At 42.6% G+C, this 15,199-nt stretch overlaps 1 protein-coding gene across 8 annotated transcripts in view, besides 1 other annotated feature; it reads right to left on the reverse strand.

Annotated features, from left to right (window-relative positions):
- The window catches only part of OPCML (opioid binding protein/cell adhesion molecule like), a 1,117,521-nt gene that overhangs the window by 50,580 nt on the left and 1,051,742 nt on the right, over positions 1 to 15,199 (reverse strand). The gene's annotated exons all lie outside the window — the stretch shown is intronic.
- Positions 5,293 to 6,492: an enhancer, noted in NCBI's record as "CDK7 strongly-dependent group 2 enhancer chr11:132340747-132341946 (GRCh37/hg19 assembly coordinates)". NCBI's record gives its function as "activates an origin of replication core promoter dependent on BRD2, BRD4, P300/CBP, MED14 and CDK7 cofactors, with strong dependence on CDK7, by STARR-seq in HCT116 cells {active_cell/tissue: HCT116}" and the evidence as "EXISTENCE:reporter gene assay evidence [ECO:0000049][PMID:35650434]".

Raw genomic sequence — 15,199 nt, forward strand, 5'->3', positions numbered from 1 at the left:
TTCTTAGAATTCTATGTTATTTTGTGTATAGCATCTTTTTTCTTACAGATATTATGAATATTTTCTTCCAGACTGATATGTTTCTTTTAAATTCATTTATGAATCTCTTTCACTGTAATAAGTTTTTTGACATTGCCAAATCTGTCAGCTGCTTTTATAACTTCTGCACTTTGAGTCTTAATTACAAAGTTATTCCCAAACTCACACTTATACAAATATCTTATATACTTTTTAATGCTTTTTCATTTTTATGTTTAACTCTTTTTGGAATTCACTTTGAAGTCTTCCAGATGCGTTTTAAAAATAAAACCAAGTTCTTTATTTTGCATGATTAACCTATACCTATCTTTAAAGTTGAGAAACTAAAAGGGATCATAGGCTAATTGACACGTATTCAGCTCACTGCTTCACATTCCTGTCTTTTTCATTCTTGTGAATTAGGAATCATTTGATGCAGAGCTCCACCAATGCACACCTATATAGAGAAATAAATTCTGATCTTAAGTAGGCCAACTCCCCTTCCTACCAGGGCCATCCTCCCTTTCAGACTCATGTGGAATGTCTCCTGATAGAAGACAATGGCACAGGGAGGCTCCATGGGAGCAAGTCTGAATGATTCTGTATGAGACATAAAGCTTGTTTAGGCCGCGCACGGTGGCTCACGCCTGTCATCCCAGCACTTTGGGAGGCCGAGGCGGGCGGATCACGAGGTCAGGAGATCGAGACCATGATGAAACCCCGTCTCTACTAAAAATACAAAAAAAAAAAAAAAAAATAGCCAGGTGTGGTGGCGGGCGCCTGTAGTCCCAGCTACTCAGGAGGCTGAGGCAGGAGAATGGCGTGAACCCGCGAGGCGGAGCTTGCAGTGAGCCGAGATCACGCCACTGCACTCCAGCCTGGGCGACACAGCGAGACTCCGTCTCGGAAAAAAAAAAAAAAGCTTGCTTCAATCCTGGTCAATGTTTGTTGGAACGAAAAAACAGCTTTTAAGAGAAACGCATGGAAAGAACCAGTTAATACTTTGGACTGAATCAGCAAGATAGAAACAGCTAGCCTGGGCAGTCCAAGATTTTCTTTCTTCCTTGATGTCTCTGAGCACATATAAAAGCTGGTGTAGGATGTGCCTCCAGCCGAGGAGTTGTAGGGTTTGCCTGGATATAGATAAATCTGCTCCCTAATCAGGACCCCAATAAGCATTCGGGGCTGGAGCCTCGGGTCCGTGTCATTAAAATGTGGTTGGTACACATTCATCCATTTTGGATCAGATATTGCACAAAAGAAACTGAGGCAGGTAATTTTAATTATGCATGCACTTATGTGTATTTTTATAGAGATTTATTATAATGCTGTGGCTTCAAATTTGAAAAAAGAAGGAAAGAAAAAGGCCACCTAATATCTTTTCCTTTGTGGAGGGAGAGGGGTTTCCACAGAACAACAAAAAGGAACAGATAAGACCATTCTAGGCTGAGAAGTGTAAAACTAAAGGATAATAAAATCGAGCTGATGCAGTTTAAAGACTCCTCATTACCTGGCCTGAGATACGGCACCCATTGTTGCTAGTGGCTGGAGATTATTTCTCAGCCTGCTGCAGGCTGATAACAGACTCGTCCACTGGCCTGAAGGCTCATTGTTCTGCAGGCAGGAATGACGCCTTGGACAGAAGCCGAGTCCCTGTGCAGCCCTGCTCCTCTAGCCTTCCGTCTCCCTTCAGTGGGATTACAAAGGAAAGCAAGAGTTCCCGTCACCTGAGAGGTGCTCTGGGACTTTTTCAATCCTCCCTCCTCACACTCCAGTTACCTAATTTGGGTCAGGTAGTTCTGAAAATAAAATGCTGAAGTTTTCTTTTCCTGCAGAACAATGTCACATTAGTCAACTTAAAAAGACTGCTCACAGCACAAATTGTCTGTACAACTCATTTTGCCCCTTAATTATATTCCACCTTGTTTTATTATTTAAAGGCATCATGTGAGTTAAGTGTTTATAGATGTTTAAAATGTAAGAGTTGGAAGTGGATCTGGAGATGCAGTTTAATGCTGTCATTTAAAAGGCTGGCACACCAACGCCCAGATGCCATGAGGGTATGCTCACTGGAGAATACTGAGTGCGGAAATGAACTTTCTCCTCCCTCTCCCCAAGGCAGCACTGTGAGAAAGGGGTTTCTGGGTCAGAAGGAAAGGGAGCCTCACATGTTACTACAAGAATTGTGGAGATCACAGCCTCTCACAAATCTTAGTGATAATGGTCTATGAAACCAAATGAGAATCAAAGATTCTGAATTCAAAGTTCAGAGTCTTCCAGCCACTATTCAAGCTGCATTCAAAAGCCAGGAGAGCTGACAACTCCAGGGCAAAGTGTTTGGTGTCACGGTGAACAGCAAGGTTGAATAGATGCGTTCAAGGAGGCTGTTGACATCCCTCTAGCTTCTGATCTCCACGCTGACAAACCTACAGTGTGTCCCTAATCTTGTGACCTACAGGTTGAAAGGAAGGCGTACTCCTTCATTTGGACAAAGCTAATCTTCCTATCTGGGCTTCCAACCCAGCCTCCCTCTCTTTCTGCTTAGCCTTTACTCATGCTTCAGCTCTTGTTGATCTCTAAACTGCTCACTCTCCTCTGGCTCTTTTTCTTCAACCTATGTGAATGGCCAGTGCTTTCCTATCATTAGAAACAACTCCTTACATTGTAAATGCCCCTGTAGCCAAAGTACACCTCTCCTTCCCTCTGCAGGCAAACTAATTATAAAAGCATGCACACTTTCTATCCATACCCCCATCCTTTCTCAAGATACCTATCAGTGGAAATTCAATCCTGAACAACTAGTGCCTTTTTGCATAAAATGTTAGTTGTTTTCATTTTTCATAGAGTTGTATGGATTGTAGAGGTTTGTGATCTGCACTCGTTATGTTGCTTTTTAAAACGATTTCTAAAAATCTTGTTACAGTAATACCTAACACTTGTAATTGTTATACTGCAGCTACAAAAATAATTATTTAAATCAATGTTAAAAATCTTTAGCCTTTTTTAAAAAAATTGATTCTTTCAGAAAACATCCCAAGTATTCCAAATGAGTATTGATTGAGGTAGTTTCAGGTTAATGTATCTGCCAAAACATTACTTTATTGTTCTAAACAAGTAATTAAGAGAGCATTTTAGATTACATAACGCTCTGTGAGGACTTTAAGGTAAAGCAGCTCTACCTCTTTCTGGAAGCTCATTTTAGGGAAAAGTCTCAAACTAAATTAGGTCATTTATGGTAAACGCTGGTGGATCTCAAAACTACATATACCTCCCAGAACTCTCCTGCACTCTAAAATCATGGATCTCATCCATACTGATCCAATCACACCCAGATATCCCACAGGCACTCCACACTCAACATGTCTAGAATTATGCTCATTGCCTCACCTCCAATTATCTTGCCTTCTGTATGTTATTGAAAGTAACCACTACCCAAACCAGTTAGTAAGAGCTCTAGAAATATTCTTGGACAACTGCTTTTGTCTTTTCTGAATTTTATTCATTAGACAAATGTGTTGAACACCTTCTCTGTTCTGAGCTGTTTTAAGTGCCAAGAATTCATCAATCAATAAAAGATGTAAGATACATGTCCTTATGAAATTTATAGTCTAGTGAGGGAGTTGGAAGCAAAAAGAAAATAAGAGGGAAAAGATAGGAAAATAAAAACAAAATCACAATTTAAAAGTGAAACAAGGTGATGCTTTAGAGAATAACTGGGTGCGACATGGAGAGAATTTTCGTGAGACTAGAGCAGAGCAAGCACAGGGCAGGGCTCACACATGTGTGGGTGTGAGAGAGTGTATGTGAGTCTGGGGTGTGTTTGTGTGTGGGGGTGCGTGTGTATGTGTGTATGTGTGTGTGAATGTATGTGTGTGTGTGGTGCCTGTGTGCCTGTGTGTGTGTGGTGACTGTGTGTGTATGTATGTGTGTGTATGTGTGTGGGGTGTGTGTGTATGTATGTGTGTGGGGTGTGTGTGTGTATCTGTGTGTGTGTATATGTGTATGGATGTATGTGTATGTGTATAGGCATGTGTGTATGTGTGTGGGGTGTGTGTGTATGTGTGTGGGGGTGTATGTGTGTGGGGGTGTATGTGTGTGTATATGTGTGGGGGTGTATGTGTGTGTATGTGTGGAGGGGAGTGAGTGTGTGTGTATGTGTGTGTATGTGTGGAGGGGTGTGAGTGTGTGTGTATGTGTGGAGGGGTGTGTGTGTGGAGGGGTGTGTGTGTGTTTGTGTGGTGTGTGTATGTGTGTGGGGGGCTGTATGTGTGTGTATGTATGTGTGGGGGTGTGTATGTGTGGGAGGTGTGTGTGTGTAGGTATGTGTCTGTATATGTGTGTATGTGTGTGGGGGGAGTGTGTGAGTGTGTGTGTACGTGTATGTGTGTTTGTGGTGGGGGATGGTAGTGGTCATAAGAAGAAGCCAAACAGGTAGTTTAAGGCCCAGTCCTGCAAGAGATGTTTGAATTTCATGCAAAGTGCTCTCAGACAACATTTCAGGATTTTGACCTTGCAAGTGATGTGACATGATCTGACTTTGTTTTTAAAAGATGACTACTGAATAGAGAACACATTGTTGCAGAAGGGATGCAAAAATGGAAGCATGGAGGGTGCAGAGGGCATGTTTGTAGTTAAGGCAGGAAGCACCAGTGGCTAGGATGTTGGCAACAGTACAGGAGAGGGAGAGACAAGGAAAGATTTGGGATGAGTTCTGGGGGTAAGGACCCCAGGGCTTCCTACTAGATCAGCTATTCAAAATGAAGGAAGGTGAAGAATTAAGAATGACACCTAGATTTTTTTCTATGTGCTACAATGAGATGGATAGCCGTGTCAGTCACTGAGACTGAGTGAATTAGGGCAGAAACTATGTAAGGTTCACAGGAAAATGCAGGATTCTGCTTTGGACTTAAATTTGAGATATCTACTAGACACTCAATAGAGATGCCCAGTAGACAGATTTGACACGTATGTGAGCATGAACGCATGAATGTGTTTGAAGTTTGAGGAATATCAGTAGCAATAGTAAAAGCAGTAATAATAGCAGCAGTGGAAGCCACTCATGTCTGTTGAGTACCCCTTAAGTGTGATCATAGATATCATTAGCATCCTAACTACAGAAATGAGGAAACTGAGATTAAGTAAATGGCCCAAGGTCATCCAGTTACCAAGTGACAGAGCTAGGATTGAAACCCAGATTGTCTGGTTCCCATGTTCATGCTCTTAACCATTCTACTAAATATGAATTTGTGAGTCAGCATCATATCGCTGATGTGTAAAGCCAGAAGACCAGTTAGGATTATTTATTAAAAAGTAGAGACAGAAGAAAAGGCGTTCTAGGACCTGACTCTTCAATAAGCCAACACTTAGGAATTAAGAAGAAAAAGGAGAACCTCAGATAGAACTGAAAACAAGTTTCTTGGAGGCAGGAAAGAACCCATGACAATGTGAGGTCCTAGAAGTCAAGAAAAGTGGTTCGAAAAGAAGCTCATGAGCAACCGTTTCCAGTTAAATGAGCATCAAAAAATGATCGATGAATTTGGTAACGCATTATTCAATACAGCCCTTGATAAAGTTTCAGCCGAGTGGTAAGTTGCTTGAGAAAAGGAAGAAAGGTGAGGCCAAAAAACACAGCTGGGAGGAGGGGGTTTGATGGCAGGTGAGGCACTTTGTCTACATGGCAGGGGATGGCTGTGGATGGTGGGGCACAGCCTTCTAGTCATCTGCTCTTCAGGTACTGCTCCTGTTCTCCTCTTGACTCAGTTATCTATTAATTATCTATTGCTGCATACCCCAGGCTTAGTAGTTTAAAACAACAGTAATCATTTGTTGTCTCTCATGGTGTCTGTGGGTCAGGGATTTGGAATGCCTTGGTTGACTGTTTCTGTCTCAGTGTTATAAGGTTGTGGCCAAATGCCAGCTGGGGCTGCAACCATCAGAAAGTTTGCTTGGGGCTGGAGGACCTGATTCAAGTTGGCTCACTCTCGCAACTGGAAATTGGTTCCTCCATCTGTGGGTGTCTCCAGAGGGCTGCCTAATTATCCTCACAACAAAAGACCAAGACAGAAGCTGCAACGCTGTAAATGAACTAGTGTCAGAGGAAATGACACAAGGCCATGCATTCCAGGAGTTGAGAATCATTCATGACCATCTTGGAGGCTGTCAACCACACCCACTCTTTATTGAGCAACTCCTAATTTTATTAAGGATAGCCACGGACCTAGCTAAATACACTCAACAATCTAGGCTCTCTTGTAGCTCAAGAGCCCATCCCATTCAATGAGAACTCCAGCCCACATTGAAAGCAGGCTCAGCTGACATGTGCCTCTTTTCCATTTGCCTTCACTTTCCCTCACCCTCTTTTCCTTGTCTGAAACACAGACACGGTGGAGGAGTAGCAGCAGGCCTACATCATGAAGGCAAAACTCATTTGCTAAAGATGGTTCTGGAAGGCCCTCCCTTTTCCTGGTGAACAAATATTCCACATTCAACACTCAGCTTGGGGGTGCTTCTTCAGTCGTCTTCCTGACAAATATGTAATAACCAACATACATACATGTCACATAAAGGGAATATCCCTACCTTTTTAAATACTTCTCTGCACTTGGTGAAAGTCATTGCAACATGTGTTTTTGTTTGGAGTTCTAGCTTCCATTATTAGACTCTAAGACCTTTGAAGGCAAAGACAGTATCTCATTTGTCTCTGTATCACCAGAGCCTAGCACATAGTAAGCACTCCACAAAAATCTGCTAAATGTGCAAATGGTTCTAGTTTGTGTCTATTCAGGAGAGAGCCGAGGGTTAACACAATCCATTTCTGGCAGGCTTATCCATCCCTGTAAAAGCCTACGGAAGGCTCATTATGAAGGACAATGTTCTGTAATGAAGTCTTCTTGCATATCTTTGGTAATAATCATCATAGAGGGAGAAAATGAGCATCTCTCTGTAATATTTATATTTCCTAGCAGCAAAGACATTCTCTTCTGTAATTCTGCCTGTAAAAGCAGCAAGGAAGCCAAGAATATACAAGTTCTCCATGGTAACTGGGTCACAGTAGCTTGCAGCTTGGCCAGGGCTTCAGATAAATGGAATAAATGGAGGTGAGCTTCCAGCAGCAGGAACTGTGTGGGAGAGTGGAGCTTGCACTGAACAATCTCTCCCCACTGGGACCCACAGTCCCCAGCACAAGTGCTCTGTGCATCGTCACTGCAGGGGGCAGTGGAAGCATGGCCTGATGGCATTTGTATCTTTCTCACTACCTCACAGTGCTGCGCTGACATCTCAGTTTCATCAAATCAACAGGCCACTTTTTAAAAATGCCTCGTATGCTCTGAATGTTAACCCAAGAAGGAGATTTTACCCCAAACCACCAGGGGATTCTTTCTATGTATCCTTAGGCTCTTAGATCATTTCTCTCAACTGCAAACTAGCGAGCCAGCTCCCTTCACTAGGCTTGGAAGAGGAACCATATTAAGCATCTGGTTAGAGAGAACAGCTGTTTAATGCACGGCAATGAAAAATTCTCATTCAAATCAGTCAACTCTTCCATTAAGGACAAGGGGTGCCAAACAGCAAATGCCAAGTGAATGACCTTTGGCAAAGCCATTCCCAGGGGCAGATTCCCAGCCAATGTGCAGCTTTGTGAAAACTTGTGAAAATAAATTTGTGAATGTGTGAAAATTCATGAAAAGGAAGAAAATCAATTGAAGGACAGAAAAAGAGCCCTCGAGCTACTGTGGACACAGAAACTACCTCTTCTGGATGCTACTCCCTTATGGGGAAAGACCCAATCTGTAAGTGAGGCAGCCCTACCAATTCCACAAATATGAAAGAGTGATCACTAAGGAAACCTAACTAGGTCAAGGATCCATTTCCCTCCCTATTGGTGCAGGGCATGAAATAATGAAACTGACAAGGAGACTGCATTTTTCAGAGTAGGTGCTTCTCCACTATCACTGGAGCCAAAATTCATAATTGCAGTAGCTCATGCCTATAATCTCAGCACTTTGGGAGGCCGAGGTGGGAAAATCACTTAAGCCTGGGAGTTCGAGACCAGCCTGTGCAACATGGCTGGATTCTGTCTCTACAAAAAATTTTTAAAATAGTAGGGCATAGTGGTGTGCACCTGTGGTCCCAGCTACTCAGAAGAATGAGGCTGGACAATCACTTGAGCCCAGGAGATCGAGGCTGCAGTGAGCCAAGATCATGTCACTGCACTCCAGCCTTGGTGACAGAGTGAAACTCTGTCACACAAAAAAATCATAATCCATAACTACGTAAAGGAATGGCTTTACATAAGGCCCAAAAGTCATGGCACAGATGAAAATCCAAACAGAACACTGTATTTGTAGAGAAATTAACAGCACTCTCTACAATCTAAGGCCAATTACCTGCAGGAGCCATCAGTGAACTTGCCAGGCCTCAGGTATGTAGCTGAGCCATCCCTGGAACACGTAGCAGGAAGGATGGGAGAGATGAAGGACTTCAGCTGATGGAGAGGAGCCTGCTCGGGCCTGTGGGAGGGGACGACTGGCCTACATTTACCAGCAGACAGACCCAACATGCAGCAGCAATCATATTCATAAAATCATAATCACAGAGTCAGAAACATTAGTGATAGAGAGAGATGGATTGGGTCAGGTAGCCTGCCTCCTGCCTTTGTAGCTTTGCTCCCCAGGTCAATTCCTTGGCCCAGTTTTTACCCTGTTTATAATTTGCAAGGAGAAGCTACCAGAACAGAATGCTTTCTGGAATCTGTTGTCAAGGAGAGAGTAAATTAAGAGGAATTGGACCTCTTCACATAGGAGCGAAAAGAGCCCAGGGGATATGGAAAAGCAGGAAGATGAAACAATAGGCATTTCTCAGTGACCCTGTGGCCTGTCCTCTTCAGTCCTTGCTGGCCCCAGATGTGATAGGTAGCAAAGACATGCACCCTTTGCATCTGCCCAGCTCAGCCTCACATTCTCCCTTATCAAGATTGAATGTGTTCTCAGAATCTCAGGCCTCACTATTTGGAGGAACCAGAAATTTTTCTGCAGTGGCCCCCAAATGGCTGGCCACTGCGGAAAACTTCTAGCCTCCCTTCCTGAACAGATTGTTGCTATCCATCATTCATATAGCTGGTCTTCTGTCTCAGTTCCCTGTTTATGCTCCTGTCCTCACCAGGGTGGAGCACCACCCTGAACCAGCATATGTTATTGGAACCAGGACACATATCTGGTTCCTGTGGGCCTGTCTTCCAAAGTCGTGGATTGCAGTCACTATGGTGTAAAACGCCTAGTCATACCTGGCACCTCAACTGTGTGGCCACCTGATGAAAGGCATAATCCCCTGGTCACAAAATAACTGTCCCCCTTGGGTTCTAGCACCCTCTTTCTTAGCCACAGCTGCCATGTTCTCTCCATTACCATTACTGGAAATACTGCTCCCACCTGCCATACTGCTAGTTATTTCACCAGCCCTAGGTTTCTGTGCTTTCTTCTTCCCTTCTCTCCACCAGCCCTGAGGTCCCTGCCTGAGTCACAACAGATTCCACTGGAGAGAAGCAAAGGTTGGGTTTTGGAGAGTTCTTTATGAAAGCCCTCCAAATACATAAGCCCCCACTAAGACCTATGAAGGCCTGAGGGCTGGCCTAAATCTCCAGTTATTAGATAGGCTTGCTTCTCCTCTTCTCCTATTGCATTTTTCTTAAGTGAGTCAGTGAGTGTACAGAAACAAAGGAGTTATTCGGAGCGATTTTAAAATGTGTGCTATACATGGAACTCTGAAGAGCTGCTTCAAGAAATTCATTAACCTCTTGCTATGGGCTGAACTGTAACTGTGCCCCACCCCCATTCTAACCTCCAGCATCTCAGAATATGACTGTTTGGAGACAGGGTCTTTAAGGGGGTGATTAAGTTACAATGAGGCCATTAGGGTGGGCCAAATCCAATCTGACTGATGTCCTTATTAGATGAGATTAGGACACACAAAGAGACACCAGAGATGCAGGAGCACAGAGAAAAGAACATGTGAAGAGGCTGCAAGAGGGCAGCCATCTGCAAGTTAAAGAGATATCTCAAAGAAAACCAGGCCTGCATGCGCCTTGCACTTGAACTTCCAGCCTCCAGAAACGTGAAAAAAAAAAATATTTCTGTTGTTTAAGCTACCCATTATGTAATATTTTCTTATGACAGCCTGCCCAAACTAATAATACACCTCCTTTCAGCACAGAAAACTCATGTAACATGCAGTATTTTGCCAAACATTGTATGGCTATTGAATTCAAATGTACGTTACATATGAACAGGTATATATACAGATATTTCATCTGTATACATTTATGATAGAGTGACACACAGACAAATCCATCTGTGTGACCCTGTGCAAGTAACCTAACCTCTTTTCGCCCCAGTTTTCTCATCTGTGAAATGGAGATGCTAAGAGTATCTACCTCAAATGGTTATTGTGAAGATGTGTAGAATCCTTAAAAGTACTTGACGCTATCAGCACTATGTAAGATACATATACACACTCTCATGTTTTTAGCATGTACACTATATTTACATGCAAATTTCAAATCAAAGAGCCATACTCTTGAAGTTCAAAAAATCTTAGAAATCATATAGCTTTTCTCAGCATTAAGCCACCTTTAAAAAAGTGCTACTTCCCTTTTACACTGTTGGTGGGACTGTAAACTAGTTCAACCACTGTGGAAGTCAGTGTGGCGATTCCTCAGGGATCTAGAACTAGAAATACCATTTGACCCAGCCATCCCATTACTGGGTATATACCCAAAGGACTATAAATCATGCTGCTATAAAGACACATGCACACGTATGTTTATTGCGGCACTATTCACAATAGCAAAGACTTGGAACCAACCCAAATGTCCAACAATGATAGACTGGATTAAGAAAATGTGGCACATATATACCATGGAATACTATGCGGCCATAAAAAAGGATGAGTTCATGTCCTTTGTAGGGACATGGATGAAGCTGGAAACCATCATTCTCAGCAAACTATCACAAGGACAAAAACCCAAACACCGCATGTTCTCACTCATAGGTGGGAATTGAACAATGAGAACTCATGGACACAGGAATGAGAACATCACACACAGGGGACTGTTTTGGGGTGGAGGGAGCAGGGATGGATAGCATTACGAGATATACCAAATGCTAAATGACGAGTTAATGGGTGCAGCACACCAACATGGCACATGTATACATATGTAACAAACCTGCATGTTGTGCACATGTACCCTAAAATTTAAAGTATAATAATAAAAAAATTAAAAAAAATTAAAAAAAGTGTTACTTCCATGAATCCCATTGTTTGAAATATTTTATCTACTAAACAAATTGCATTTGTTTTCCCAATTTTTAAAATTGAATGCAAGTGTCCTTTTAATCTGAGTATCCATTATGCTGAATTAATATGATTTTTGTCAAAAATAGGTAAATTGACCACTTATCTTTGGGCTTTTATAAGATTTTTAAACACTGGCAATAATACATGGACTCTCATGTTCACCCTGTGGTTCCCAGGTTTCCCAGGTTGGAGACCACAGATAACAGAGTGCAACCCAATGATTTTCAAATGAGGACTCAGAGCCAGAGTGAGTTGCCCAAGATGGCTCTTGAAGCCAAGTCCCCATACACCCATCTCAAGCTCCCTGGCCCACAACACATTCCTGGCTGCACATTCTTTTCCCCAGTTAGCCTGTGCTGCACCAGGTAGTTCCAGAAGTACACAGGGATTAGAGCCACAGAGAATCCACTCTTCCTGCACAGTGGTACAGACGTCTCCTTTCATCTCAGACTGAGACAGGTAGTAGCACACTGGGGATGAGGACTTCAGGAAAGAGGGAAGAGGTTATCAGTCCAGCCGAACTTGGAGTGAGATGCTTCTTGGAGTGGGAAGCCTTCTGGGGCTAGGCATACCTTCTGTGTTGGAAGCAACTGTCATTCTGGAAAGCTTGGAACAGTCAAGATATGGCTAAGAGAAGAGGGCAAAGCTGTCCCTGTTTTTAAATGTAAGATTGAGAGAGGAGAGCACTCTTAACCTCCAACATGAGGAATGGAGGCAAAGTTCAAGACAGAAGCAAATTCATCGGGAATGAACATATGTTTTTCTGGAGTGTGTGCTGTGTTTTTATTCTCAGGTGCTGTGTATTGTAGGTGTAATGCCCAAAGACAGGGAACATAGACTGATGTATTAAGGTAATCATTGACTTTAGGAAAGAGTATTACCTGTCTACTTATTTTTTATTTTCATTATAAAATCTCTTGGGGTGCATAGAGTAATTTACTTGTAAAGATTTTGATTTACAGATGAAGACCCTTTGAAAACATATCTAAAAGGGAAATACTTTATCAAATGTATGCATATATTTCTGAGATAATAGCAAATAGAATTGCTTATTCATTTTTAAATATATGGAGGGTTTTCAAGTAAAATAATGGAAGGTATTTAAAGTTGAAGACAATTAGCAAGTTAGAAATTCAGCAAGTTTGCAGAATATACTCACATGTAAAGTAAAAGATTAACTATGCTAAAATGAAGGTCAAGGCATGTGAAATGATATAATACAGTATATAATAAATTTGGCTGTATTCAAATAGACTTAGAATCAAATACCAATTGTTCTAAGTTTAAACTGTGTTCTTCCATAATTTACATACATTTTCTAAATCTCAATTTTTCAAGCTTAAAATAGGTTAAAATACCATTTCTAACTATAAGATAGGGAATGATTCAATGAAACAGTGCAAAGGAAAGTACAGAGAATAGAGTGGCTGGCACACAGTAGGTGCTTAATAAGTGCAGTGTATGATGATGGTGAGGAAGAGGAAGATGAGAAAGATGAAGAACAGGAAGACAAGTGAAGAGACAGATAACGGGATACACAACACATCCTTAACATGAGCCCCCCAAAGAGTCATTCACATCAAAGATCTTCTTGTTCTAAGCAAAAATCTAACAGCAACATTGGGGGAATAAAGTCCTTAAAAATAGAAAACAAAAATACAGATGTTCTAAACTCAACAGTGAACATGGTGAGTGAATCCTTTCCACTTACCATTTAATGACTTGTTAAATAATAGTTGATAACTGTTGTCTTTATCATCAAGATAATACTGCTTGAGCCTAGTAAAGTTCTTAAGTTTGTTTGTGGTCATTCTTTGGCTTCTAAGATTAACTGGTTTTGATTTACAGTTGCGCTTATTACCCATGGTTGCTTCAAGAGGCTGAAGAAAGGCTGCATCCACCAGTGAAGAAGCAAAACGTATGCTGAGACCAAGAGAATATAATTTGGGTTAAATATAAAAGTCAGTGATTATCCTAATTGAAAAATAAAGGACTACTCATCAGCTGAACATGTATCAAATGTTCAGGCATTTTTTTTTCACAAGGAGATAGAGCACATCAAAACAAAATGCACAGAATTAGTTCTTAATAGGGAGAGGAGCCAAGATGGCCGAATAGGAACAGCCCTGGTCTACAGCTCCCAGCCTGAGTGACGCAGAAGACGGGTGATTTCTGCATTTCCATCTGAGGTAACGGGTTCATCACACAAGGGAGTGCCAGACAGTGGGCTCAGGTCAGTGGGTGCATGAGCCAAAAAAGGGCGAGGCATTGCCTCACTCAGGAAGTGCAAGGGGTCAGGGAGTTCCCTTTCCTAGTCAAAGAAAGGGGTGACAGACGGCACCTGGAAAATCGGGTCACTCCCACCCAAATACTGCGCTTTTCCGACGGGCTTAAAAAACGGATCACCAGGATATTATATCCCACACGTGGCTCGGAGGGTCCTATGCCCACGGAATCTCGCTGATTGCTAGCACAGCAGTCTGAGCTCAAACTGCAAGGCAGCAGCGAGGCTGGGGAAGGGGCGCCCACCATTGCCCAGGCTTGCTTAGGTAAACAAAGCAGCCAGAAAGCTCGAACTGGGTGGAGCCCACCACAGCTCAAGGAGGCCTGCCTGCCTCTGTAGGCTCCACCTCTGGGGGCAGGGCACAGACAAACAAAAAGACAGCAGTAACCTCTGCAGACTTAAATGTCCCTGTCTGACAGCTTTGAAGAGAGCAGTGGTTCTCCCAGTACGCAGCTGGAGATCTGAGAACAGGCAGACTGCCTCCTCAAGTGGGTCCCTGACCCCTGACCCCCAAGCAGCCTAACTGGGAGGCACCCCCCAGCAGGGGCAGACTGACACCTCACAGGGCCGGGTACTCCAACAGACCTGCAGCTGAGGGTCCTGTTAGAAGGAAAACTAACAAACAGAAAGGACATCCGCACAAAAAACCCATCTGTACATCACCATCATCAAAGACCAAAAGCAGATAAAACACAAAGATGGGGAAAAAAACAGCGGAAAAACTGGAAACTCTAAAAAGCAGAGCGCCTCTCCTCCTCCAAAGGAACGCAGTCCCTCACCAGCAATGGAACAAAGCTGGACGGAGAATGACTTTGACGAGCTGAGAGAAGAAGGCTTCAGACGATCAAATTACTCTGAGCTACAGGAGGACATTCAAACCAAAGGCAAAGAAGTTGAAAACTTTGAAAAAAATTTAGAAGAATGTATAACTAGAATAACCAATACAGAGAAGTGCTTAAAGGAGCTGATGGAGCTGAAAACCAAGGCTTGAGAACTACATGAAGAATGCAGAAGCCTCAGGAGCCGATGCAATCAACTGGTAGAAAGGATATCAGTGATGGAAGATGAAATGAATGAAATGAAGCAAGAAGGGAAGTTTAGAGAAAAAAGAATAAAAAGAAACGAGTAAAGCCTTGAAGAAATATGGGACTATGTGAAAAGACCAAATCTACGTCTGATTGGTGTACCTGAAAGTGATGGGGAGAATGGAACCAAGTTGGAAAACACTATGCAGGATATTCTCCAGGAGAACTTCCCCAATCTAGCAAGGCAGGCCAACATTCAGATTCAGGAAATACAGAGAACACCACAAAGATACTCCTTGAGAAGAGCAACTCCAAGACACATAATTGTCAGATTCACCAAAGTTGAAATGGAGGAAAAAATGTTAAGGGCAGCCAGAGAGAAAGGTCGGGTTACCCTCAAAGGGAAGCCCATCAGACTAACAGCGGATCTCTTGGCAATAACTCTACAAGCCAGAAGAGAGTGGGGACCAATATTCAACATTCTTAAAGAAAAGAATTTTCAACCCAGAATTTCATATCC

Source organism: Homo sapiens, chromosome 11, assembly GCF_000001405.40.
Source record: "Homo sapiens chromosome 11, GRCh38.p14 Primary Assembly".
Classification (NCBI taxonomy): Eukaryota; Metazoa; Chordata; class Mammalia; order Primates; family Hominidae; genus Homo; species Homo sapiens.